The following is a 27,288-nucleotide window of genomic DNA, read 5'->3' on the forward strand; positions in this document are numbered from 1 at the left end:
TACTAAACAACTTTTCTAGTAGTTTGCAGAATCAAACAAGGGCTACTGGTTATGTAAGAAATATAACCAATGCTTTCATGCCTTCATGCCCTTGCTCAGGGTCTTTCCCATTGCCTAGGATGCTGATCTGTTAGTTTTTCCTTTTAAATCAAACTCAAATATTCTGTTCCATAAATTCTGTTCCCTCCTTCCCTCCTTCTATATTTACAGAAGAAGGAGGGAAGAGAATCTTCTGTATTACTCTGCAGTTGTATAACATTTAATATGTTTTTTGCCCTTGAGTACAGGAACCATCTTGTTCACTGGGTCTCTCGCTTTGCTGAGAGAACAGTTCTTAACTCCTAGTAGATGTTTATTTAATGTTTGTTTCATTTTAACAGTTCATAAGTTTATACAGGGGCACCTTGGGAGCCTAGGAGAGGACTGAGTATCAGTCAACGTGCCAGTACTCATTCCCTTAGTTTTATGTGGTTGAGTTAGATTAAAACAAGACATGAAGGGCAGCCTTGATGAAGAAAACAGTCTCATATGAACAGTTTACATAAGAATACACTGTGCAGAGGGGGATTGGGAACATTGCTTTGGTGATTGATGGAGTTTATTGTCTGTGAGACCTTTTTTTTAGCACTAACCTTATGCCAATTTTTAAATCGTTCTCCAGAAAGTGAAATATTTAGAGTAATAATTTAGAGTCTTAGATTAAGGTTTCTTAAAAATATGGTGCCCATTACTTAAATGTGAATTTGTCTTTCAGATTATGTGGCTTCTGTGATTTTAAATTTACTGTTTTTTTTTTTTTGATTAAGAATTATTTGGTGTTTTTTTTCTTGTAATTGGGTATTTCATAATAACTTCTCTTAATTTTAGGAAAGTGAAAAAACTCTTATGATGAACACATTATATAAGCTTCATGATCGATTGGCACAGCTTGCAGGTAATTGTTTTAACTTTTATAGTTGCTAAAAATGTTTTGAAAAATGTATGTAGCATGTTATTAGTAGAAAATATTTTTCCAAGTCCAGTGTTATATTTGTGAAATATTTTTCTTTAGAAGTTTTCATTACCTATACAGAGTGATTTTTGATTTTTACATATGTATTTAATGAAGGCTTTTTTCCTGCCTGCCATCTGTATTAGAGGTAATATATATATATAATATAGTTATAAAGTTGATCAAATTTCTTTATTGCATCAGTGGTAACAAAAAATCTGGAAAGCTTAAGTATCAGAGGAATTAGGTAAGCAGTGAATTAACTAAAATCTTGGATTAAATATACAAATGCAGATTTTCTTTTGTTGGTTGTATAGGTATCATTCTGTTTGATAAAGTAAATTTATTCTCCTGTAATTTTCTCTCCGGATTAATTGCATTTTCCTCATAGTCTGCTCTTAGTAATTCTTTGAGAGCTCTAAGGTAGTCAACTTGTCCGAAATGGGAATAATTTATTATAGATTAATTAGTATCAAGTTTAGCACATGTAAACTGCAGTAGCAGCTTATCTATTACCTTTTTTTAGTTCTTTTTTTTTTTTAAACATATAATCTGAAAGAAGAGACTTGGATTCTTGTAAGCAGGCATAAGAAAAGAAAAATGCAGTTTTCAAACTTTTCTATGTAGCAGAACTTTTGTGTAAACCAGATTATTGGTAGCAGCCTATAGGTAAATATGGAACTTCTCTGGTTGAATGGAGGTATTTAGGATCCTGACAGTTTCCCATCCTCTGATCTCTCTTTGTTTTGTACATTGGGTTCTTAATTCTGGTCAATTTTTTAAGCTTTTAATTCTGTATTATATCGCTAAAAGCCTTCTTTGCTTTGATTGTCATTCACACACTTCAAGCTAATGACATTTATTTGGTATGCTGTAGCACCCAGAGATAGGTTAAGTATATGCTAGTTATGCTAGCTAGGGATATTGCTAACACAAGCTTCTACAGCTATCTCTGTAGCATTGTTTTATCAAGTATGGTTCATGGCCAGCTAAATCAGCATAATCTGATGTGCTTTTAAAGATACAGATTCCTTCCCCTTGAGTAAGGGTCAACAAGCTTTTTTTCTGTGAAGGGTCAGATAGTGGATATTTTAGGCTTTGTAGGTTAGTTTGCCTCTGTCACAACCACTCAGTTATGTTATACCATGAAAGCAGCCATAAATACTACATAAGTGAATGAGCTTGGCTGTATTCCAGTAAAACTTCATTTATAAAAACCAGAGTAGGCCAGATTTGACCCATGGGCTGTAATTTGCAGACCTCTGCTCTAAATCTATGGGATCTAAATCTCTGAGGATGCACTAATAAACTTTCAAGACTTGTTCATCTGATAGGTACTTCTCCCCTTTTTATAGCTACTGACATTAAAATGATTACTTGAACAAAACTGAAATGAGAACATGGCTGCTTTTATTTTAGAAACATTTGGCAAGGATTTTACTTTAATTATTCTACTTTCATGTTAACAAGCTTTTTAACTACTTGAAAGACACAGGGAAGGGAAAACATGACAATTGGAGTTCAATATGAGGATAATTTATTTCTAATAACCACTTATAGTCTAAAGAAAAAGCCCTGAATTCGCTTCTTATCAACAATTAAAAGAAAAGATAAATGTAGTTTTCCAAAGATTTATATGAGCACATCCCTTTGTAGAAACCAGATCATAGGTGGAAACTTGTACCTGATTTCCCTGTTGGTCTGTTATAACAATTTTTGTTTTTTAAGATTTTTTTGAGACAGGATCTTTTCTGTCACTCAGGCTGGAGTGAAGTAGGGTGATCACAGCTCACTGCAGCTTCAAATTTATGGAGTCAAGCTGTCTTCTCGCCTCTGCTTCCCGAATAATTGGGACAACAGATGCATACTACCACACCTGGTTATGTTATAACAGTTTTTAAGGCATGCACACCCCTTGCTAAAGATAGGATTAGTTATACTCTGAAAATGCACATACTTTAATTCATTAATAAATTCAAACTTATTTGAACCCTTAAATGATTAGCTTTAAGAATAGATGTGTAAGTTAAGTTAGCACAATGAATATGCTGAATTTTTTCCCTTTTAGGAATAATACATATTTCTGGAGGGCGTCTTGTGTGCCAAGATCTGTGGATAGGCATCAGTGTGACATAGTTCCTATACCAGCTTACAGTTTAGTTGGGAATATAAGAGGAAGATAAGTTCTTGTTTGGACTGAAATGCATTTAAAAGTTGTGGTTAATGTAATGGTAGTTGTTTGTTTATATTCTTACTGGAATTTCTTTGTTTATATTCTTACTGGAATTTCTTCTAGAAATTATAAATAATATTGTTCATGTTCTTTCTTTACTGATTATAATAATATAACCTGTAATTGTATAATGTATAAAATATTTGAATTAATTATGTTTGTTTTCTTCTGTTTAAGAGAGTACTGATTCAAAATTAATAATATGCTAATCTTTCCAGGAGATCATGAATGTGGCAGTTCTAGTCAAAGAACGCTTTCTGTTCAAGAGGCAGCTGCGTATTTAAAAGTAAGCAATGAAATTAGAATTTTAATAGCTATATTTTAAAAAATTATATAAATCATTGCTACTTGTAAGAATCATATGTTTGATTATTTTAATTGTACTGTTAAAAGCTTGGGCCTGCTGTTTGGTATAATATGAGCAGTTATGAGAAAGTAAAATTGTTCAACTTTTTTTTTTTTTTTTTTTTTGTGAGACACAGTTTCGCTCTTGTTCCCCAGGCTGGAGTGCAATGGCTGATCTCGACTCACTGCAACGTTCGCAACCGGGGTTCAAGCGATTCTCCTGCCTCAGCCTCGCGAGTAGCTGGAATTACAGGCACCCACCACCTCGCCCAGCTAATGTTTTTTGTATTTTTAGTAGAGATGGAGTTTCACTATGTTGGCCAGGCTGGTCTCAAACTCCTGGCCTCAAGTGATCTGCATGCCTTGGCCTCCCAAAGTGCTGGGATTATAGGCGTGAGCCACCTGTTCAATTTTTTTTAGTTTGTTTTAGAACATTCTCTATGAGAGAATGCATATTAATTTGGAAAGGGTACAAAGAAACATTGGTCATAGGGAAATTGAGATAGGTGAGTAGTAGCATGTAAGAGAGCAGGTAAATATCTAACCATTTATTTAAAATCTTCTGTCCCACATCAGTTTCTTCTCCAAATACTAAGAGAACTTGCTGTTGAATTTTCTAAACTACTGTAAATAATTTCTGGAAAATCTTAATGAAAGGTAGTAAAAGATTAAAGATGGATAAATGTCATTCTGATTTCTCAGAAGTGGAAAGTGGCATTTGAAAACCATACAGGAAAGCTTGTTGTCGGTCCAGTTCCATAAAGATAATTTCATAAAGATCTGAGTTCTTGCAAATGGAAACGTTGATCCCTGGAAGGTGGCTGGCATTTGAACGTGGACAAGTCATGCCATACAAATTTCATGCCTCCCATCCCCTTGTTAAAATTGTGGTAAAAAATATATAACGTGAAATCTGTTAACATATTTTTAAGTATACCGTACAACTATATGTGCATTCTTATACAGCAAATCTCTAGAACTTCTTCATCTTGTATGACTGAAACTCTATAGCCATTGCACAGCAGGCCCCCGTTTTCCTCTGCTCCATATCCCTGGCAACCACCATTTTACTTTCTTCCTCCATCAGTGTGATTAACAGATACCTCATATAAGTTGAATCCTGCAATTTTTGTCCTGTGACTGGCTTATTTCACCTAGCATAATATCTTCAAGTTTCATCCATATTGTAACATGACAGTACTTCCTTCATTTTTTAAGGCTGAGTAGAATTTCATTGTATGTATACATATATTTTCTTTATCCAGTCATGTTGATGGGCTTTTAGATTGTTTCCACCTCTTGGCTATTGTGAATAATTCATCAATGAACATGGCAATGCAAGTACTTCTTTGAGACTCTACTTTTAATTCTGTTAGACAAATACCTAGAAGTGGGATTGATAGATAATATGGTAGTTCAACTTTTTATTTTTTGAGGAACCTCCATACTGTTTTCATATTGACTGTACCATTTTACATTCTTTCCAATAGTATAGTAGGATTCCAGTTTCTGCCTATCCTTAACACTTATTTGCCTTATAGCTCACTGTGTTTTTATTTGTGTTTCCCTGATGATTACTGATGTTGAGCATCTTTTCATATACCATTTATATACATATACATCTGTGTGTATATATAGCATGTATACAGCATATATATAATACCTTATCTGTTGGCCATTTGTATATCTTCTTTGGAGAAGTGCTATTCAAGTTCTTTGCTGATTTTTAAGTTGGGTTATTTATTTTGTTATTGAATTGTGGGGGTTTCTTATGCATTTTGCATATTAACCCCTTGTCAGATATATGGTTTGCAAATATTTTCTCCCATTCTGTAGGTTACTTTTTCACTGTATTCACTGTTTTTTTTTACTGCACATATGCTTTTTAGTTTGATGTAGTCCCACTTTTCTGTTTTTGCTTTTGTTGCCTATGCTTTTGGTGTCATGTCCAAGAAATTATTGCCCATATCAACGTCAAGAAGCTTTTCTTCTATGTTTTCTTCAAGAAGTTATATAGTTTCAGGTCTTACATTTAAGTCTTTAATCCATTTGGAGTTGATTTTTGTGTACGGTATAAGATAAAGGTCCAGTTTGATTCTGTTGCATGTGGAAATCCAGTTTTCCTAGCACCATTTATTGAAGAGATTGTCATTTCTCCATTGTGTAGTCTGGCACCCTTGTAGAAGATTGTTGGATCATACATCAGTGGCTTTATTTCTGGTTCTCTATTTTGTTCCACTGGTCCATTTATGTCTATTATTATGCTAGTACTATACTGTTTTGATTACTATAGTTTTGTCATATGTTTTAAAGTCAGTGTGAGGCCTTTGTGGTTCCATATGGATATTAGGATTATGTCTTCTATTTCTGCAAAAAATGCTATTGGGATTTTGTATTGCTGTATTGCCTTCGGTGGTATAGTAATTTGAGTAATATTAAGTCTTCCAATTCACGAACATGAGATGTCTTTCTATTTATTTGTGTCTTTTATTTCATTCAGCTTTTTTTTTTTTTTTTGTAGTTTTCAGTGTATAAGTCTTTCACCTCCCTGGTTAAGTTTATTCCTAAGTATCTAAATCTTTCTAATGCTATTATAAATGGGATTATTTTCTTAACCTCCTTTTCAGATTGTTGTTAGTGTATAGAAATGTAACTGATTTTTGTATATTGATTTTATATCTTCCAACTTAGCTGAATTTGTTTATTCTAACAAGATTCTTTTTAGTAGAGATAGGGGCCTTGCTATGTTGCCCAGGCTGGTCTCAAACTCCTGGGCTCAAGTTATCCTCCTGCCTTGGCCTCCTAAAGCACGGATTACAAGCATGAGCCACCACACCCAGCCAAATAACAAGATTTTTTTGGTGAAATCTTTAGGGCTTTCTATGTATAAGATTATGTCACTTGCTAAGAGAGATAAATTTACTTCTTTCTGATTTGGATGTTTTTTATTTCTTTTTCTTATCTAATTGCTTTGGCTAGGATGTCTAGTGCTATGAGAGATAGAGATGGGAAAAATAGCCACCCTGGCCTTCTTCCTGATCTTAGAGGAAAATCTCTCTTTTTTTTTTTTTTTTTTCCTTGAGACAGAGTCTCACTCTGTCGCCCAGGCTGGAGTGCAGTGGTGTGATCTCTGCTCAATACAACCTCCACCTCCTGGGCTCAAGCGATTCACATGTCTCAGCTTCCTGAGTAGATGGGATTACAGGTGTGTGCCACCACACCTGGCTAATTTTTTTGTATTGTTAGTAGAGATGGGGTTTCACCATGTTGGCCAGGCTGGTCTCGAACTCCTGACCTCACGTGATCCACCCACCTCGGCCTCCCAAAGTGCTGGGATTATAAGTGTGAGCCACCATGCCTGGCCAGGAAAATCTTTCAGTTTGTCACCATTGAGTATGATATTAGCTAAGGGTTTCCATGTATGGCCTTTAATATGTTGAGATAATTTCCTTCTATTCCTCTTTATTGAATGGTTTTATCATGAAAGGATATTTAATTTTGTCAAATGCTTTTTCTGCATCTATTGAGATGATCATGTGATTTTAATCCTTTGTTCTATTAATGTGGCATACTCAGTTTTGATTTTTGTATGTTGAACCATCTTTGTGTCTGAGGTATATGATCCTGGTGTGTGATCCTTTTCATGTGCTTTTGAATTCAGTTTGCTAGTGTTTTTTTGAGGATTTTTGTATCTCAGGGATTTTAGTCTGTAATTTTCTTATAGTATCATTGTCTTTGGTGTCAGAGTAATGCTGGCCTCATAAAATGAGTTTGGAATTGTTTCATCCTTTTCAATTTTTCAGAAGAATTTGAATAGGATTGGCATTAATTCTTCTTTAATAAAATAGATAATAAACTCAGAAATGAATTCTGATTTTTTTCTTAGTCTAGTTAAGGGTTTGTCAATTTTGATCTTTTCAAAAAATCAACTCTCAGTTTTATTGATTCATTAAATTCTCTATTTAATTTATTTTTGCTCCAATCTTTATTATTTCCTCCCTTCTGCTAATCTTAGGCTTAGTATGTTCTTTTTTTAGTTCTTTGAGATGTAAAGTTAGATTTCTCATTTGAGATTTTTTTTTCTTAACATAGGCTTACCACTGTAAACCTCTCTCTTGTATTGCTTTTACTGCTTCTCATAAATTTTGTTAGGTTGTGTTTTTTATTTTTTTATTTTAATACATTTATAATTTTTCTTTTGATTTCTGCTTTGATCCAATGCTTGTTCTAGGAGAATGTTGTTTAATTTACACATATTTGTGAATTTCTCAGTTTTTCTCTGCTTTTGATTTTTAGTTTCATTTCATTGTGGTGTGAAAAGTTACTTGGTATGATTTCGGTCGTCTTTAATGTGTTAAGATTTTTGTGGCCTAACATATGATCTGATTTGGAGAATGTTCCATGTGCACTTCATAAGAATGTGTATTCTACTCCTGTTGGGTGGAATTTTCTGTATATTTCTGTTAGATCCATTTGATCTATAATTGTTGTTCAAGTCCTCTGCTCCCTTATTGATCTTCTAATGTGGGATACATACATATTTAGAATTGTTAAATCTTCCAGATGAATTGATCCCTTTGTCATTTATATAATAAATATCCTTCCTTGTCTCATGTGATGATTTTTTTTTTTTTTTTTTTTTTGAGACAGAGTCTAGGCCTGTCACCCACGCTTGAGTGCAGTGGTGAGATCATAGCTTACTGCAATCTCAAACTCCTGGGCTCAAGTGATCCTCCTGCCTCAGCCTCCCAAGTAGCTGGGGCTACAGACACATGCCACCACACCCGGCTAATTTTTAAAGTTTTTGTAGAGACAGGATCTCACTACGTTGCCTTTAAGTCAAAAATTTGTCTAATATGAGTATGGCTACCCCTACTCTTTATTCATTATTATCTGCATGGAATATCTTTTTCCATCTTTTGGCTGTCAGCCTGTGTGTGTCCTTAAATCTAAGGTGTACACATGATAAAATTGGAGCTTTTTTTTTTAATTATTCATTCAGCCACTCAGTGTGCTTTGATTTGGGAGTTTAGTCCATTTACATTTAAAGTAATTACTAATAGGAAAGGACTTATATTGCCTTTTTTGTTGAATATTTTCTCTCCGTGTTGTAGCTTTTTTGTCCCCTTTTCCATATCTTACTCTTTTTTGTGTCTTTTTTTTTTTTTTGTAGTGACAAGCTGTGATTTCTTTCTCATTTTCTTTTACGTGTGTTTTTTAGGCATTTGTGGTTACTATTGGGGCTTATATAAATTATCTTATATTCACAGTAATATTTTAACCTGATAACACCTTAACTTTAGTCACATGGAAAGTGTCTACTTTTTTATATCTCTCTTCATCCTTTATATTATTGATGTCACAGATTACATCTTTTCATATTGTGTATCATCAACATATTTTTATAAAGTTTTTTATACTTTTGTCTTTTAAATTGTATATCACAATTAAGTGATTTACACACCACCATTACAGTGTTACAGTATTCTGATTTTGTCTATATATTTACCTTTATCAGCAAGCTTTATATTTTCATATGCTTTTGCATTGCTAGGTAGCATCCTTTCATTTAACTTGGAGTCACTTTAGCATTTCTTGTGAGGCAGTTCTAGTGATGATTAACTCCCTTGGCTTTTATTCTGAAAAAATCTTTATTCATTTTTGAAGGATGGTTTTTCTGGATATGTAGTAGTCCCCTTTATCCATGGTTTTGCTTTCCACAGTTTCAGTAACACCTAGTCAACTATGGTCTGAAAATATTAAATGGAAAATTCCAGAAATAAAAAATTGTATACCATTTTTAATAGTACGATGTACTGCTCCCCCCTCCCCCCTACCACACACACACACAGTATTCTTGGTTGGCAGTTGTTTTCTTTCAGTACTTTGAATATGTTATTTCACTCTCTCCTGCTTTGTAAAGTATTTTGGGGACTCCCTTGTATGTGATGAGTAGCTTGCGTCTTGGCTGCTTTCTTCTCCTTGGTTTTCAACAATTTGAACATAACATGTCTGAATATGGACTTATTTTGGTCTATCCTCATTAGGATTCATTGGCTTCCTTGAGTCTGAATACCCATTTTCTTCCCCAGGTTTGGGGAGTTTTGGGCCCCAAATAACATGGTGTTTTTGTTTTTGTTTTGTTTTGTTTTGCCTGTTTCTTTCTTCTCTTTCTGAAACTTCCATATTACTTATATTGGTTGGCTTAATGGTGTCCCATTAAGGTCCTTAGACTTTCTTTACTTGTCTTTATCCTTTCTTCATTTTGCTTGTCTGACAGAATAATTCCAAATGACCTTCTTTTGAGTTTGCTGATTCTTTCTTCTGTTTGATCCAGTCTGCTTTTGAACCCCTCTAATGAATTCTTAAATTCAGTTATTCTTTAGCTCCAAAATTTCTGGGTTTTAAAAATATTTTCTGTCTCTTTGTTGATATTCTTACTTGATTCATGCATTGTTTTCCTGATCTTGTTGAGTATCTTTATGATGGCTTTTTCTGAATTCTTTGTCATGTAATTCTTAGACTTCTACTTCTTTAGGATATGTTTTGGAAGTGTATTTTGTTTCTTTGATTGACCATGTTTTCATGGTTCTTCATGTGCCTTGTTACTTTGTGTTGGGATTCGTGCATTTAACAACAACAGAAATAAAAAAAACAGCCACCTTTGTAGACTTTGTGTGGGGAAAGTCTTTTACCAATATGTCTGTGTAGACATTCTGGATTTCTTAGATATCTTTTCTGTGGTTGTGGTTGTGACCTCTCTGGATTTTTGCCTGTGAATTTCCAATTAGAGAAGTTTTGCTGGTTTATTTTCTCATAGTTTATAATCTTTTGATCCCTGGTATCTGTAGGTTATCCCTGGTGTCTGTAGATTATCTGGAGCTGCCATAAGCTATCCAACTCTTTTGTTTGTTTGTTTTGAGACAGAGTCTTGCTCTGTTGCCCAGGCTGGAGTGCAGTGGCACGATCTCAGCTCACTGCAACCTCTGCCTCCCTAGTTCAAGCGATTCTCCTGCCTCAGCCTCCCAAGTAGCTGGAACTACAGGTGCCCGCCACCATGCCCAGCTAATTTTTTGTATTTTTAGGAGAGACGGGGTTTCACCATGTTAGCCAGGATGGTCTCGATCTCCTGACCTTGTGATCCACCTATCTTGGCCTCCCAAAGTGCAGCGATTACAGGCATGAGCCACTGCTCCTGGCCCAGCTCTTTTTTCTTCTTAGTGGCCCCCAGGCATCTGGAGTATACTGAGTCCTATCCGCATTTTGAATCAGGTGAGGCAGAAGCCAGCGAGGCAACACTCCTTGCCCCTGTGAAGTCAGAACTTTGGATGCATGTCTAACTTTTTTCCTCCCCAGGGAGAAGCCAAGAGTTGGGGTTTTTCTCAACTTTCTTCATGCCGAGCTGGGGGTAGGGACAATGGTGAGTGAGTGCTGTTGCCTTTGTTCTTAGTAGTCCTTAATTTGGTGTCTTTCAACTATTAGATTCAGACATGACAGAAACCAGTTGCCCCGAAAAGTCAGATCATTAGATGTATGTTCTAGTCTTCTGTTTTCCTTCTGAGGAGGAAGCCACGAGTTGGGAGTTTCCTCTCTATTGCACTGCCCTGTGGGGTGATGAGAGTGTCTGGGAAGTGAGTGATATGAATTTTCCTAACAGCTTTGATACAGGTGGTTTTGTGCTTGCCTAGGTGCAGGAACCTTTTAACTAATTTCTGGATTTTTCACAAATGGAATTGGTCCATGTATTTTTGTTGAATCGGTGTCTCATTGAGGGAAGGAGGGTCTGGGGCTTCCTATTCTGCTGATGTCACTCCTCCACTTTTTAAAAATTAAGAATGTAGTATATGTTTTAAGGCTTTCAGCAAAGTTTTGGTAATAGTCTCCTGTGATTATGCTTGTCAACAAAGAGAAATATTGACTGAGTTTTTAACTTAATGCATGACTTATATGTAGGTACCAAAAAGATCCTAAGACAGTATAATAAGGAGATTATATCTGGAGTCAAATTCTGGTACTGCCAGTAGAAGCTATTACATTTTGGTAAAGTCTCTAACTTTTCTGAACATGTTTCTCTGTGAATGTGGGACTGCCGTTAATACCTGTCAAAGTTGTTGGGAGACTTGAGTATATAAAATGCCTAGCTCAGTGCCTGATGATTATAGTAGCTTCCCAATAAATTCAATTTCTGTGTTTTCTAATTAAATCAGTGCCACTCTAGCGAGTAATCTCTAATAACATGCCACAGAAATTTTGTTTAAGGTTGTTTATTGTCTTTATTTTCAATTTTGACCTAGATGAGAACATTAATGACAGTAAAATTTATGGATAGTGTAATAGCTAATAGACTGGACAGTTAAAGGATCAGAATTCAAAAAGATCTTGACTAAGGAGGAGTTATGATTATAGGGCTCAGTGTTATGGGATGGACGAATGTCAGGGTGCAGGCAAAAAAAGGGATTGGATTGAGGCTAAAGGAGACATAGAATAAAATATTCCATGAAGAAAGGCATAGTGAGAATCCAAAGCAAGCAAACTATTCCTTATAAAATAATTGAATGGGTTTTCACTTCTAGTAGTAGGACTATCTTATCCCATTCAGTGTTTCTTTCCTGTTTTCTTTTTGTTAGGTAGTTAAACCTCTGAGATTTGATCTCTGAGAGGTAATACCGTAGATCTGTGTTATGATTGGTCATAAATTCCTGGAGCAAGTTTCATTGCTTTTCAGAAGAATGCTGAGACTCTTAAAGCATATGAAATAGGATTAATTCTTCCTTGGTATCTGGGGATTACTTCCGGGACCCCCATGGACACAAAAATTTGTAGATGCTCAAGTTCTTTATATAAAATACTGTAGTATTTACATATAACCTATGCATATCCTGCTATATACCTTAAATCTTCTCTAGATTACTGATAATACAATGTAAATTGTATGTAAATAGTTATTATTATACTGTATCATTTAGTGCAAACTTGTCCAACTTGCAGCCCAGGATGGCTTTGAATGCGGCCCAACACAAATTTGTAAACTTTCTTAAAACATAAGAATTTTTGCGATTTTTTTTTTTTTTTTTGGCTCATCAGCTGTTGTTAATGTATTTTTTGTGTGGCCCAAGACAGTTCTTCCAGTGGGGCCAAGGGAAGCCAAAAGATTGGACACTCCTGGTTTAGGGTATAATAAGGAAAAAAAAAAAGACTGTACAAATTTAATGCCGACATAATCATCTGTTTTTTTCCCAGATATTTTTGATTCATGATAGACTATATTGACTCTATTCAGTATTTCAGTCCATGGAGGTGGAACCCATGGATAAAAGGACTGACTGTACTGTGTTTGAAGGACTGAAGAAATGGGATAGGGACTGGGGACAAGATAGGACCTGACCAGTAATTAAGGTGGAGCTGAGGAAGAGGCAGGGGTTGGTGTGGAATTATTAACCTCTCTTTCACTTCTTCCAACCATTTTCTTGTAGCTGTGGGTCAGCAATGGTACAAGTTAAAAAGAAGGGACACAGATGCGGGGTTGGGGTAAGTCAAAGTCTAAGCCAGGCAGCAATAGAGTATAAGATTAATTCTACTGAAGACTAGCAGCAAAAAAGTTACTAGAAGCACTCTTGCATGAGTTAAATTGGAAACTGCTTATATCTACTTAAAAAAAGATATTAATGAACTGTAGCTTTTTGTGTTTTATTATTATTATTGTTATTATTTATTTATTTATTTATTTTTTTTTTTGAGGTGGAGTCTTGCTCTGTTGCCCAGGCTGGAGTGCAGTGGCGAGATCTCGGCTCACCGCAAGCTCTCCTTCCCAGGTTCATGCCATTCTCCTGCCTCAGCCTCCCAAATAGCTGGGACTGCAGGCACCTGCCACCACGCCTGGCTAATTTTTTTGTATGTTTAGTAGAGACAGGGTTTCACCATGTTAGCCAGGATGGTCTCGATCTCCTGACCTCGTCATCTGCCCGCCTCAGCCTCCCAGGGTGCTGGGATTACAGGCGTGAGCCACCGTGCCTGGCCACTTTTATTATTTTTAATTGACATAATTGTACATATTTATGGGGTATAGTGTGATATTTTGATACATGTATACAATGTGTAATGATACAGTCAGGATAAATGAGCCATCACCTCAAACATTTATCATTTCTTTGTGTTGGGAACATTCAAAATTTGCTCTTTTAGCTATTTGAAAATATATAATAAATTGTTAATTATAGTTGCCTTGCAGTGTTATAGAACACTAGAATTTATTCCTCCTACCTAGTTATAATTTCATTTAACCAACCTCTGGCTACAGACCCTCCACCTGCCACTTTGCCACTTTCTAGCCTCTAGTAACCACTATTCTCTTCTACCTCCATGAGATCAACTTTTTAGTTTCCCCAAAGGTAAAATAAGCCAAGTTCTTAGTAGTCCTTAACTTGGACTTCTAACTCATTTGTCTTCCACAAGTGAGAATATATGGTATTTGTCTTTCTGTGGTTGGCTTATTTCACTTAACATAATGTTCTTCAAGTGCATCGGTGTTGATGTGAATCACATAATTTTATTCTTTATTATGGCTGAATAGTATTCCATTGTATATATACCACATTTTCTTTATTCATCTGTTAATGAGCACTTAGGTTGATTCCATATTATTGTTAATAATGCGGCAATAAATGAGAGTACAGATACCTCTTTTCACTTACTGATTTTCTTTCCTTTGGATATATACCCAGTAGTGAGATTGCTGGATCATATGGTGGTTCTATTTTTAATTTTTTGAGGATCCACCATACTATGTTCTGCAATGCCTGTACTGATTTACATTCCCACCAACAGTGGATAAGAGTTCCCCTTTCTCTGCATCCTCGCCAGCATTTGTTATTTTTTGTCCTTTTGATACTAGCAATTCTAACTGGGGTGAGTGAATATCTCATTGTGGTTTTGATTTGTATTTCCCTGATGATTCATATGTTGGGCATTTTTCCATATGCCTGTTGGTTGTTTGTATGTCTTCTTTTAAGAGATGTCTGCTAAGCTCATTTGCCCTTTGAGTTCCTTGTGTGTTCTGGATATCAATCCCTTGTCAGATGAATAGTTTGCAAATGTCCCCCATTCTACTAGTCATCTCTTCACTCTGTTGCTGCCTTTGCTGTGCAGAATCTTTTATTTTGCTATAACACCATTTATTTTTGCATTTGTGTCTTCTCCATAAAAACCTTTGTCCAGACTAATGTCCTGAAGCGTTCCTCCTGTATTATCTTTTAGTACTTTAATAATTTTAGGTCTTACATTTAATTATTTAATCCATTTTGAGTTGATTTTTGTGTATGGTGAGAAATAAGGGGGCTCGTTTCATTCTGCCTGTTTTCACAGCACCATTTAGTGAAGAGACTGTCCTCTCCCCAGTGAATGGTCTTTGCACCTATGTCGAAAATCAGTTGGCTGTAAATACGTGGATTTATTTCTGGGGTCTTTATTCTGTTCCAGTGGTCTGTGTGTCTGCTTTTATGCCAGTACCATGCTGTTTTGGTTACTATAGCTTTGTAGTGTATTTTGAGGTTTTATAGTGTGATGCATCCAGCTTTGTCCTTTTGCTCAGGATTGCTTTGACTGTTCATAGTTCCATATGAACTTTAGAATTGTTTTCTTCTACTTATGTGAAGAATGTCAGTGGTATTGTAATAGGGATTGCATTGAATCTATACATAGATTATTTTTGGTAGTGTAGTTTTCATAATCTTCTAATTGTGAACATGGGATGTCTTTTTATGGTGTTTTATGGTTTTTTTTTAGATATCTTTTACCTTCTTGGTTAAATTTAATTGTAGGTATTTTATTCATTTATTTATTTTTGTAGCTATTGTAAGTAGAACTGCTTTCTTAATTTCTTTCTCTGCTAGTTTTTTGTTGGTATATGTTACTGATTTTGAGTATTGATTTTCTGTCCTGCAAGTTTATTTAATTTATTTATCAGTTCTAAGAGGTTTTTGGTGGAACTTTTAGAGTGTTCCACATTAACATCATGTCATCTGCACATAGGAACAATTTTTCTCCTTTCCAATTTGGATGCCCTTTATTTCTTTTTCTTGCCTAATTGCTCTGGCTAGGACTTCTAATACTATGTTAAATAAGAATGGTGAGAATGGGCACTGTTGTCTTGTTCCATTTCCTATAGGGAAAGCTTTCAGCTTTTTCTCATTCAGTATGCTGTTGGCTGTGGGTTTGCCATATATGGCCTTTATTGTGTCCTTCAGTACCTAGTTTGTTGAGAGTTATCATGAAGAGATGTTACATTGTATTAAATGCTTTTTCTGCAGTGAACTCTGTAGCCTTTAGAAGATTTTTTTATCTTGAGTTATTTTATGTTTCATATTCGGTTTTGTCTTAATTTAGTAGAATTTCTGTGGCATATTTTTATAAGATTATGGATTAATTTAATTTCATTCTTAAAGAATTATGTAAAATGTTAATACTCTTTTTTTATAGTTAGGTTTATGTATGTGTGTTTTTGTTACCTTTTCTTTTTGGAATCTCATTTTTCATGTTTTTCAAATGCTATAAAACCTGCCGTGGTTTGTCACCACCATAGACGCAGTTTGTACTGTCAAAAGCAAAACAGAGAGAGCTTTAAACAGGATTTTTTTCCCCCAAAAATGTAATTTTAAGGTCTATATAAAAGTCTTAAAGTACTATTTTTAATAATGCTTATTTTTTCAACATAAAATTAAATAATATTGGCTAGGCACAGTGGCTCATACCTATAATCTCAGCACTTTGGGAGGCCAGGGCAGGAGGATCATGTGAGCCCAGGTGGTGGAGACCAGACTGGGGAACATAGTGAGATCTTGTCTCTACAAAAAAAAAATTTTAAATAGCTAGGTGTGGTGGCACATGGCTCTGTAGACCCTCTGTAGTCCCAGCTCCTCGGGAGGCTGAGATGGGAGGATTACCTTGATTGTACCACTACACTCCAGCCTGGATGACAGAGTGAGAGCCTGTCTCAAAAATAAGTAAATAAATTAAATAACACTCATTATTTAATTCATATGGAAAATGAAAGGAAAAAAAGCTTCAAATTCACTACCTAAGGATAACAACTGGTAAAATTTTGGTCCATTTTCCTCTAATTAGTATTATAAATATTTTTTTCTAAAGCTAATATTACTTTATTATAAATATTTTATACTATAAATATTCATGTGTCTTTCCCTTGAAATTATTGTGTGTATTTCAAAAACCGTTGAATGATTTTTGAAAATGTTTTCTATCACTGAATAATATTTCATGGTATGATTTTATTTTATTGGTTTGTGGTTTTTCAATATTATGAAATCACTCTAATCTTTGCATATAGTATTTAATTTTCTAATATTTCTTAGGAAATAATCCTAAAAAGGAAATTACTTGTTCAAAGAGCATGAACTTTTAAAAATGCTTTTGATATATGTTGCTATATTAATTCCCAATTTAAAATGACTGCTTTAGCACAATCTAGCCAAAATTCTCTATGTTATTTTATCCATATTCTGGCATAAATATGGAGGAAACTCACTACAAAGTTGATATCAAACAAGGATTATAATATCTATATGGAGGGCCTTCTGCTTATGAGAAAGAGATCTATTACATATTTTCATGTATTTGCACTATAGTTTCACCAGCAACACATTTAAGTTTTTAGATTGAGGAATAAATAAACCAAAGAATGTGTAGAGCCCCTACAAGTGTAAGCTAATTTTTTCACAACTTCTAGTACATTTTAAGCACAGTGAGTATAGTAAATGTTTGATGGAGTAAAATGAGTGAATAAGCCTCAGTAACATATTTTTGTTTTCTTGAATTTAATTATTTATGTTTAATTCTTTATCCAGTTTTCTCCTTCAAAGGAAATTTAAATAAACTTAATAACTAATTTAAATAATTTAAACACTATTTTTCTAACTACTCCAGTGCTCTTCTTGAGCTTTTTAAAAAACTCGTTGTTTTTGATATTGAAAGCTTATTTTAATTTGTGAAAAGTTAAGAGGTCCCTCTGGTGGAACATTGAAGAAATACATAGTTTATATTTCCGTGAAAATACATGATTGGTTTTTAAGTTAGATGGTAGTGACTTTGTATAACTTTTTATGGAATAATGTAATGAATGGGTTTACGTTCCTAGGTTGCTTTCAAAACCTTCTTAACCTTTAACACAATGAATATGTTTAAGATTTGTGAAGAAAATAATAGGAAAGTAGACAGCTGCAAATGTGTCAAATTATGGGGCTGGATAGACTTTTATGGCCTAGAATGCTAATTACTGTTAATAAAAGTCTGTGTGGAAAAATGAGTGTTCTGAGAAGTGGAGTGAGGGGGAAATTTTATGATAATAATTAAGGTTTATAAAGTACAGTGTGGTACTTTCTATATGTTAATTCTAATTTCAGAATGATCCAACAAGATAGGTGGTATTAGACCCATTTCATAAAGAAACTAAACCATAGAGGGGCTAATAACTAGAGTATCCAGCTACTATGTGATGGAACTGGGAATAGAACCAAAGTACTTGCTCTTTTCTATATATTGTTCTGCCTCTTAAGTGGATGGAGTGGATTCATAATCCTTAGCTCCAGCTATTGAGTGGGCAAGGGACTGGTGCTATTAAGGGTTAGGATCTGAAAAAGTGGTCAAAGTAGATACATCTGGATAGGTGGCATATTTTTCACTTGTCCCATTTAAGGTTGTACATATAGCTAATCTGTAATGGAGCCAGCATCTGGTTCTGGGTCTACTTGATTCTAAAGACTATGTTTTTTTCTGTTATTCTAGCAGGTGAAAGATCATACAATTCTTACTGAATCAGGAGTTACATCCTGTTCAGCATTGTGGATTTCTGTGTGTTATATTTTAATTAATTTTAAAAGGTGCCATCTGATGCATAGTGTAGATCATCTCACAGTTCACTAGAATATTCACCAGCTGGAAGGCTGCATGGCTATTACTGTGTAAATTATCAGTTTCATAAACTATCCATATTAGGTTTTTAGTCCTTGCTTGATTTCTCCCTATACCAGTGCCTTTTTCCCTTCTTACTAACTAAAGTTTTGTTGCCTTATTTAATGAAACAGTATTATTTTTGTACTTGGAAACTGTAATCCAAGTTCAGAGCATCTGATGTGGGTTTTAAAGTACACATTTTTGACCCACGATTTTGAAAATAAAGAACATTTGGGAGAGTTCATGGGGGTATGCGTGAGTACACACATAATGTGTTAGATTTAAGATTTGGGAAAATATACTTCAAATTTAGAAAGATTTACATGAAGCAGTCAGTGGTATACTGACTGAGCTCTTGCCTATAAGTAAATAGTAATAAACAATAGTAATAAAAGTTGTGCCTTAAAAATTAAAAACTTAGTTTCTTCCTGATTTTTGTCATCAGTTATTGGAAAATGTTTGTTTTATGATGCTGGAATGCCTTACCTTAGAGGTTAGCAAGCCATGGCTTATGGGCCAGATCCAGCCTGCCTGTTTTTGTATGGCTTGTGAGCTGTGGTTTTACAACAGTTTTAAAGCTTGCTTTTAAAAAAGAAAGAAAGAAATTTATATGGCTGCACAGCTTAAAGTGTTTACTCTCTGGCCCTTTACGGACAAAAGAAAAAGCTGACCAACCCCTGCCGTGCCCACAGCTTTCCAGGTGGCTACAAAAAGTGAATAATAAAACAGTTTAAACTGTTAAAATCAGGTATATGCTATGTATGCTACAGTATTAGCATCAACTATTTGGCACAAGCAAATAATTCAATTTTTGCTTTTATAAAAATTCCATTTTCTAATACTCTAGAATGCCGTATATATATTTGTGGAAATAGTGGCATATTTTAGACCTCAACACCCCATTAAGTCCTTAATGAGGTTTTAAATAATCAATTGTTTATTGAGAATGTGTACCCATAAAATGAACATTCCATGGTTTTCTTGTATTCCAGATAATGAGTGGATGTCAAGTGATATTAATAAAGGAAAGGAAAACAGAAAAAGGGAAAATAACAACAGATCCTCTTTTCTTACCCTTACTATTTTATAACTAAGAGATTTAAGGCCTTCATTCCTCCTCGTACTTAGCTTTTTAGATCTGTAGGTGTCTTTGTTAATTTGAACCATTGTGTACATTTTTTAAGGATATTTGATGAGAACAGTAATATTTATAATGTCAGCCTCCTAAAATTTGTATATTTAAAATTTGCACTAATAACCTTGGGAGTTTGTTTTTATGTTATCTGAAACTTATGTTTATAGTCTGGTCTTCAAAGACTAGATTATACTTGTCCAGTATTATATGTAGTAATGCAAAGCATGCCATGATACTAGGCAAATCATAGCAATACAAGCTGAACAGCATGTATATAAGTACAAGTAAATACAACATTTATTTCATTGATTTTTAATATATGCATGTATTTGAAGGGTACTATGTGGCATCTGTGTCTTTGAAGAACTAAATGAGTACAAAATCCTTTTTAAAAATGTATGGTAGTGACAACATTACAAAGAAGACTAAATGCAATAATGTTGTCTTCAGCTACACTGATAACCTATATTAATCTTGCTTTGTAGATTTTCATTTATATACAAAGTGATTTCTAGTAGTATATTTATAACAATTGAAACTAATTGCCTGAAATTATTTTGTGTAACTTTATTGCATAATATTTTAAAACAATATTAAAGCAAATAAAAATCACTTGTATCCTCATTCTTGTGCTACTCATATGAGTACATATATTTTATAATTATAAATACAGTTGGCCCTACGTATACATGGGTTTTGCATCCATGGATTTAACCAACCGTGGATCAAAAATCTTAGTGGCAATAAAAAGAAAAAAAGTACAATGGAAAAAATACAGATTTTAAAAATACAGCTATCTATATTCATTTATATTAGGTGTTATAAGTAATCTAGAAATGATTTAAAGTATAAAGAATGATGTGCATAGGTTATATGCAAATACTATGCAATTTTATATCAGGGACTTGAACATCTGTGGATTTTGGTATCCATGGGGCATCCTGGAACCAATCCTCTGTGAATACTGAGGTATGACTGTATATATAAATTAAATGTTGTAGTTTTATTTTTTTAAGCAGATAGCTGTTTAGCTCTCATCATGATTATTTCTAAGTTCATAATATCCATTGAAATGATCTCATATATAAACCTTTTTTCAATCATTAAATACATTGTCTGCAATTTTTTTGATGTTTGTAAATGCTATAATAAACACCCAAGCTTAAAAAAACAGATGGCCTATAGTTATCTTCACCATCTTAAAAATCCTAATAGTAGTTTCATGTAATGATGCCTAACAAGATTAGTTCTGCTTTATAAAACTTTTTATTACATTTGCAAATTTGATACATTAGAATAACTTACCAGTTTTATATTAGGAAGTAAACTATACTGATCAAATGAAAACCTTATAATTTCCAATGCTGTTGAAGAATCTGTTGATAAAATACAATAGGACACTTCTTAGAAAAATCTTTTTTTTAGAGAGAATTTGAAATGACTTTTTATTTCTGTTTTTAGAAATTCATTTTTTCCTCTACGAGCCAGGCACAGTGGCTCATGCCTGTAATCCTAGCACTTTGGGAGGCCAAGGCAGGCGGATCACTTGAGGCCAGCAGTTCGACACCAGCCTGGCCAACATGGCGAAACCCCATCTCTACTACTACTAAAAATACAGTGATTAGCTGGGTGTGGTGGCACACGCCTGTAGTATCACAGTTACTTGGGAGGCTGAGGCACAAGACTGTGCTTGAGCCCTGGAGATGGAGGTTGCAGTGAGGCGAGTTCGCACCACTGCACTCCAGCCTGGGTGACAGAGCAAGACTCTGTCTCAAAAAAAAAAAAAATTCATTTTTTGCTCAAAAGGGACATAAAGACATACTAATAATACAAGCTCCATGAACACAGGGAATTTTTCACTGTGTTGTTTATGCTGCACCTCTAGTTTCTAAAATAGTACTTGGCACATGGTAAAGGTGTTTATAACAGTATTATATTTGATAAATTTTTAAAAATTGGACATATTCTAAATGTTCATTAATAAGGTGTTGATTAAAAGTATAGAATAATCATACAATGGAATACTATTTTGTTGAAAAAAATAGGGTTTTTTCCATGTAAACTGACATTGACACAATATTTTGTTCCATGAAGAAAACAAGTAGAACAGTAGTATGTGTAATATGATACCACATTTATTTTTACTATTTTAATTTAAAAATACTCTACCCACACATAGCAGTTCTTAAGCTTTTTGGTTCCCTATAATTACTGAGGACTCTGGCTTTTGTTTGTGGGAGATATACATTTATATGTTTTTGTTTCTATTAGAAAGATATATTTACTTTCTAATGGTAAATATGTATTACAAATACATGTTTATATTAAAAATTAAAACTGAAAAAAATTTATGTATTTAGAATAAGAAAAATGAATCTATTATATGTTAACGTAATGTATTTTTATGAAAAATAACTTTTCCAGAATGAAAACATTCAATGAGAACAGTGGCATTGTTATATATTTTATAAATCTCTTAAATGTGTAGCTTAATAAAAGGTGACTGGATTCTTATCTGCTTCTTTATTCAATCTGTCATGATGTTTTAGTTGAAGTATGTCATGAAAATCCAGCCTCACATTGATATGTAGTCAAAACATTGGAAAGTATTTTAGTTGCCTTTTCAGGTAATTGTAGATAGATATTTTCTTTGATACCATACCAAACCTCTATAAGTAGTAGTTTCTTAAATGTTAGTTGCAATGTGGAATGTCAGACTGTGCCAGTGAACTTTTTGTACTCTTGTCTCATAAAATCCTTTTATTTTGTACTTTGAATGGATCTTTTACCTATGCGTGATTGGTTTTTATAAAAATCAGAATTTTTCAAATGCATTGGTCATTTTCAGATGCATTGGTCACATTTCATTATTCCATATCAAAAAACTGCATTTGTTAATGTCACACAAATCTCATTGGAAAGGTCTTCAAGTATTGTGAAGTTGTCCAGGTCACAAAGATGAATGCTAGTTTTTCAAAATTCTACTTTTTACTTGAATGCTCAAATCTTATAATTGGTAACCCGGTCAGTTTTTCTTTAGTTGATAGGCTTACTGCTTTTATGTGTTGAGAATACTTGTCTGTGAAACATCCAAATCTGGAAGAGTTTGCCATTTATTTGTTCATCTATAAATAATATTGCATTTTTAAAAGTGGTAAATTCACTCTTATGATGGCACTGATAAACTAATGATAAAAAAAGAACTTCCAAGCCAGGCGCAGTGGCTCATGACTGTAATCCCAGCACTTTGGGAGTCCAAGGCTGGCGGATCACTTGAGGTCAGGAGTTTAAGTCCAGCCTGGCCAGCATGGTGAAACCTCGTCTCTCTAAAAGTACGAAAAAAGAAAATTAGCTGGGCCTGGTAGCTGATGCTTGTAATCCCAACTACTTGGGAGGCTGAGGCAGGAGAATTGCTTGAACCCAGGAGGCGGGGGCTGCAGTGAGCCAAAATTGTCCCACTGCACTCCAGCCTGAGTGAGAGAGACTCAGTTCCCAAATATGTAAAATATAAAAAAGCAAAATATTAACACTGATTATATTGGAGTAGTGGGAAAATGCTAACTTTTTTTTTCTTTTTTCTCATTCTTTTTAAAATTTTCTGTAATGAATATTTTATGTTATGTAGTTAAAATAAAAATGTTATATAGAGTGTGTTATAAAGGATACTTTACAGAGAGTCGAATGTAGATTAAGAATAGTTATTTTTCTCTATTTTTCTTGTTAGGATTTAGGTCCTGAATATGAAGGTATATTTAACACTTCATTGCAGTGGATCTTAGAAAATGGAAAAGATGTTGGAATAAGGTAAAGGATCTGATTTCCACTTTGACCATTCTGTACTGGGAGAAATGGTTTTTGACTTTAAATTCTACCTTACTTATTTTTAAATAGGTGTGTTGGTTTTGGCCCTGAGGAAGAATTGACAAATATAACTGATGTGCAGTTTTTACAGTCCACAAGACCACTGATGTCTTTTTGGTGTCGTTTTCGACGTGCTTTTGTTACTGTAACTCACAGATTATTGTTGTTATGCTTAGGTAAGTTGTAAAGATAAGAAATGAGATAAATTGCAGCCTGAATTTTTGTGTGTATTTCACTAAATGCCAGAGTTGAGAATTCATTTTTGTGATGGTTGCCACATAAGTCACAGCTAGATGTCTTCACTAAATATAATAAAAATAATGTCAGAATCATTCTAAAGGCTTAGAAAGCAGTAATATAAGGAGAGGTAGAAATAAAACTTTGTTATAAGACTGTCACAGAAAAACAAGTGTGGTCAGTATATACATAGAAATCTACTTTAGAAAGTAGAATTGAAAAATACAAAAATTGAGCTTATTTTTAAATAATAAAGTGTTATAAAGTTTATTAAAATTTAGTTTTTAAAATGTAATTTACCTACATTTAAAATTTTTATCATTTTTTAATTGATAATAGGGATTTAGGTGAGAGTTGTTTTTTCATTCTTTCTTTCTTCTTTAAAAATAATTCATTTTGGCCAGCTTTAGTGGCTCACACCTGTAATCCCAGCACTTTGGGAGGCAGGAGGATTGCTTGCACTCAGGAGTTTAAGACCAGCCTGGGAAGCATAGACCCTACCTCTACAAAAAAATTTTTAAAATTAGACAGGCATAGTGGCACGTGCCTGTAGTCCCAGCTACTTGGGAAGCTGAGGTAGGAGGATTTCTTGAGCCCAGGAGTTGGAGGCTGCAGTTAGCCATGATTGCACTACTGCCCTCCAGCCTGGATGACAGAGTAAGACCCTATCTCAAAAACAACAACAACAAAAGAAAAATTCATTTTACTTAAAGTAAGATTTAGTATGTTTAATCTCATGAGGTTCACTTTTCTAGTCGTTTTATGCTTCAAAGGAAAAAAGTTTGTGAAACATAGTTATATATATATATTTTTAAATAGTAGTTAGAATTTAAATGTTCACTTATCAGTGTAATGGAAGAAATGCTTTTTTCTAGAAAGTGAATCTTTGGAAAATGTTCAGTATTAAATTTTTTTATGTAGTTTTAATTATATAGCTAATTCAGCCATCTGTCTTGAAGGTTCATTCCGTTGTGGCAGTTAAAATAATCACTGAAATATTATTGAATGATATTGACCACAATTTTTAAAATACAAAGTATATTAATATTACAGGTGTAGTGATGGTTTGTGTCGTTCTGCGTTACATGAAATATCGATGGACAAAAGAAGAGGAGGAAACAAGGCAGATGTATGATATGGTGGTAAAGATTATAGGTATGATATTTGTAAGAATCTCAACTATTTCTAGAAGAGTCATTGCATGATTAAACTACATTATGTCAAGTGATTGATTCATTTGTAAATTTTATTTATTTTTAGATGTTTTACGAAGTCATAATGAAGCCTGCCAGGAAAACAAAGATTTACAACCTTACATGCCTATTCCACATGTACGCGATTCCTTAATACAGCCTCATGACAGGTGTGTTCAAAGCATTATGAGTTCAAGTAAATCAGAAAATTTAAGTGCTTTCTGCAGTATTGAAAATTATATTGAGAGCTGTGACCCTTCTCAACTAGACTTGCTTACTGCACAGGTTTTTTTTGGTTTTGCTTTGTTTTTGTACTTTATACTCTCTTTCTAAATTCTCTTCCATTCTCCTGATTTTGAGTGACACCTGGATTTCTAAGTCATTCTCATTCCTAGGCATTCTTGATTCTTTGTTGTTAGTCTCCATCTTATTTCCTTTAATTTCATCTTGATAAAGAAATAGATGACAGCCAGTGGCTGGTGTTTTACTAATGTTTTTTAAGTACTAACTTTATTATTAATGAAGCTTTTAAAGTAAAAACTAAAATGCAACTTTTTGAAAATAAAAGATAATTCCATATCCTGAAGCAGCATCTTGACCCTAGCAACACATAAAGCCAGTGGAGCTTTTGGGGAAAAAAAATACAGATGTTTGTGCTCTAGCTCTGGAAATTGAAACTCAGAAAATCTGAGATGAGATATAGGCATCTAAATCTTCTTTGAACAAACTCCATGAGTAGTGGTAAGAACAGCTAGAGTTAACTATTACCTCAGATACTAATATTTCAAAAAGATGACAAGCCAAGATGATAGTAAATTTGCCATTTTGTTCACATGATAGGAAAAAAATGAAGAAAGTCTGGGATAGAGCTGTTGACTTCCTTGCTGCTAATGAGTCTAGAGTTCGCACGGAAACACGAAGAATAGGTGGTGCAGATTTTCTGGTTTGGCGGTGGATCCAGCCTTCTGCATCCTGTGACAAAATATTAGTTATACCTTCTAAAGTATGGCAAGGTCAAGGTATGTATTTTTAAACATCAAAAAAGTAATTTTCTTCTAATTTTTCAAAATGACAAATATGTGTTAAGTGAAACAGTACAATTCAAAGATGTATGAAGGCAAAACTCTCTCGTTCTGTTTCGTAGAAGGAATCAGTGTTAGCTTCTTATGTATCCTTCCACACTTTTATCTTTGCTAATGCAAACATAAATGGTTTATCTTTAATAAAGATGAATATTCCTTGAATCTTGCCTTTTTCACTTAATGAAGCAACTTAGTATTATATATATTAACTGCATTCTTTTCATCTAATTTCTTTATGTAAATAAGACACATAATTTATGTTATATATACAATAAAATATATATAAACTATATATGTATATAAGTGAAGTCATAACTTTTTAACTGCTCTTTTTTTTCCAGTTTTTGCCTGCCTCCTCTTACTAAGACCTTTCTATTTATATATTCCTCCTGCCAAGTAACTTTTGTGGGTATCTTTCCATATTTTTCTTAATGCCTACATAGTTTCAAAAACATGTATAAATAAGAAAGGGGTAAGTTTATAGGGGGTTTTGAAGATTGGCTGTCATATGTACCCAAACCTTTACTACACAGAAAAGCAGAAAACAATGCATCAGAAAATTATGACTTTTTCCCTATAAAAGTATGTCAGTATTTGCTAAACATAGTATTTGTGGAAAAGGTAAGTTGTTTTGGACATGCAATACAAAGTCCAGTCACTCCTTTTTTATTCTCCAATTAATTTTCACTTTGAAAAAGCTTGAATAAGAGGCTTCTTTAAACATGGCATAAAAGTGATGCTCTGTCAGGGTAAACAGCTAAAGCAGGCAGGGCTTAATACCTGGGTGATGGGTTTGAGTTGATAGGTGCAGCAAACCACTATGACACACGTTTACCTATGTAACAAATCTGCATGTCCTGTACATGTATCCCAGAACTTAAATTAAAAAAATGATGCTTTCATGTTGCCAATGATTATACTATTTCCTCTAAATGATGCATGCATTTCAGTTTCCCTATAAACTGAAAATAGAGAATTCCTTATTTTACTTGACCTCTTAACAGTGTTTGACAGTTCAGCCCTCCTTGAAACTTTCTTCACTGGGATTTGGGGATGCCACCTTCTTCTGTTTTTTTTCTCCTACCTCAGACTTTTTCTTCAGTCCTTTTCTAGATTATCCTCTTTTTCTTCACCTCTAGGTGTTAGAGTTTCTCAAGGCCATCTTTTTTTTCCCACTCTGCCATTTCTCCCTAGATAATCGTCTTGCTGTGACTTAATTTACCATATTGGGATAACTCCCAAATTTT

The 27,288-nt window shown here is 34.0% G+C and overlaps 1 protein-coding gene across 2 annotated transcripts in view; it reads left to right on the forward strand.

The window, feature by feature from the left end:
* Window positions 1-27,288, forward strand: part of LEMD3 (LEM domain containing 3) — a 78,773-nt gene that overhangs the window by 45,527 nt on the left and 5,958 nt on the right. For both annotated transcript variants that reach the window (NM_014319.5, NM_001167614.2), the window contains exons 3-9: window positions 868-934; window positions 3,443-3,510; window positions 23,393-23,472; window positions 23,560-23,705; window positions 24,820-24,921; window positions 25,027-25,129; window positions 25,800-25,978. In NM_014319.5, coding sequence (NP_055134.2) covers window positions 868-934; window positions 3,443-3,510; window positions 23,393-23,472; window positions 23,560-23,705; window positions 24,820-24,921; window positions 25,027-25,129; window positions 25,800-25,978 — 745 coding nt within the window. The remainder of the gene's footprint in view (window positions 1-867; window positions 935-3,442; window positions 3,511-23,392; window positions 23,473-23,559; window positions 23,706-24,819; window positions 24,922-25,026; window positions 25,130-25,799; window positions 25,979-27,288) is intronic.

This window comes from Homo sapiens, chromosome 12 (assembly GCF_000001405.40).
Source record: "Homo sapiens chromosome 12, GRCh38.p14 Primary Assembly".
In the NCBI taxonomy this organism is placed as follows: Eukaryota; Metazoa; Chordata; class Mammalia; order Primates; family Hominidae; genus Homo; species Homo sapiens.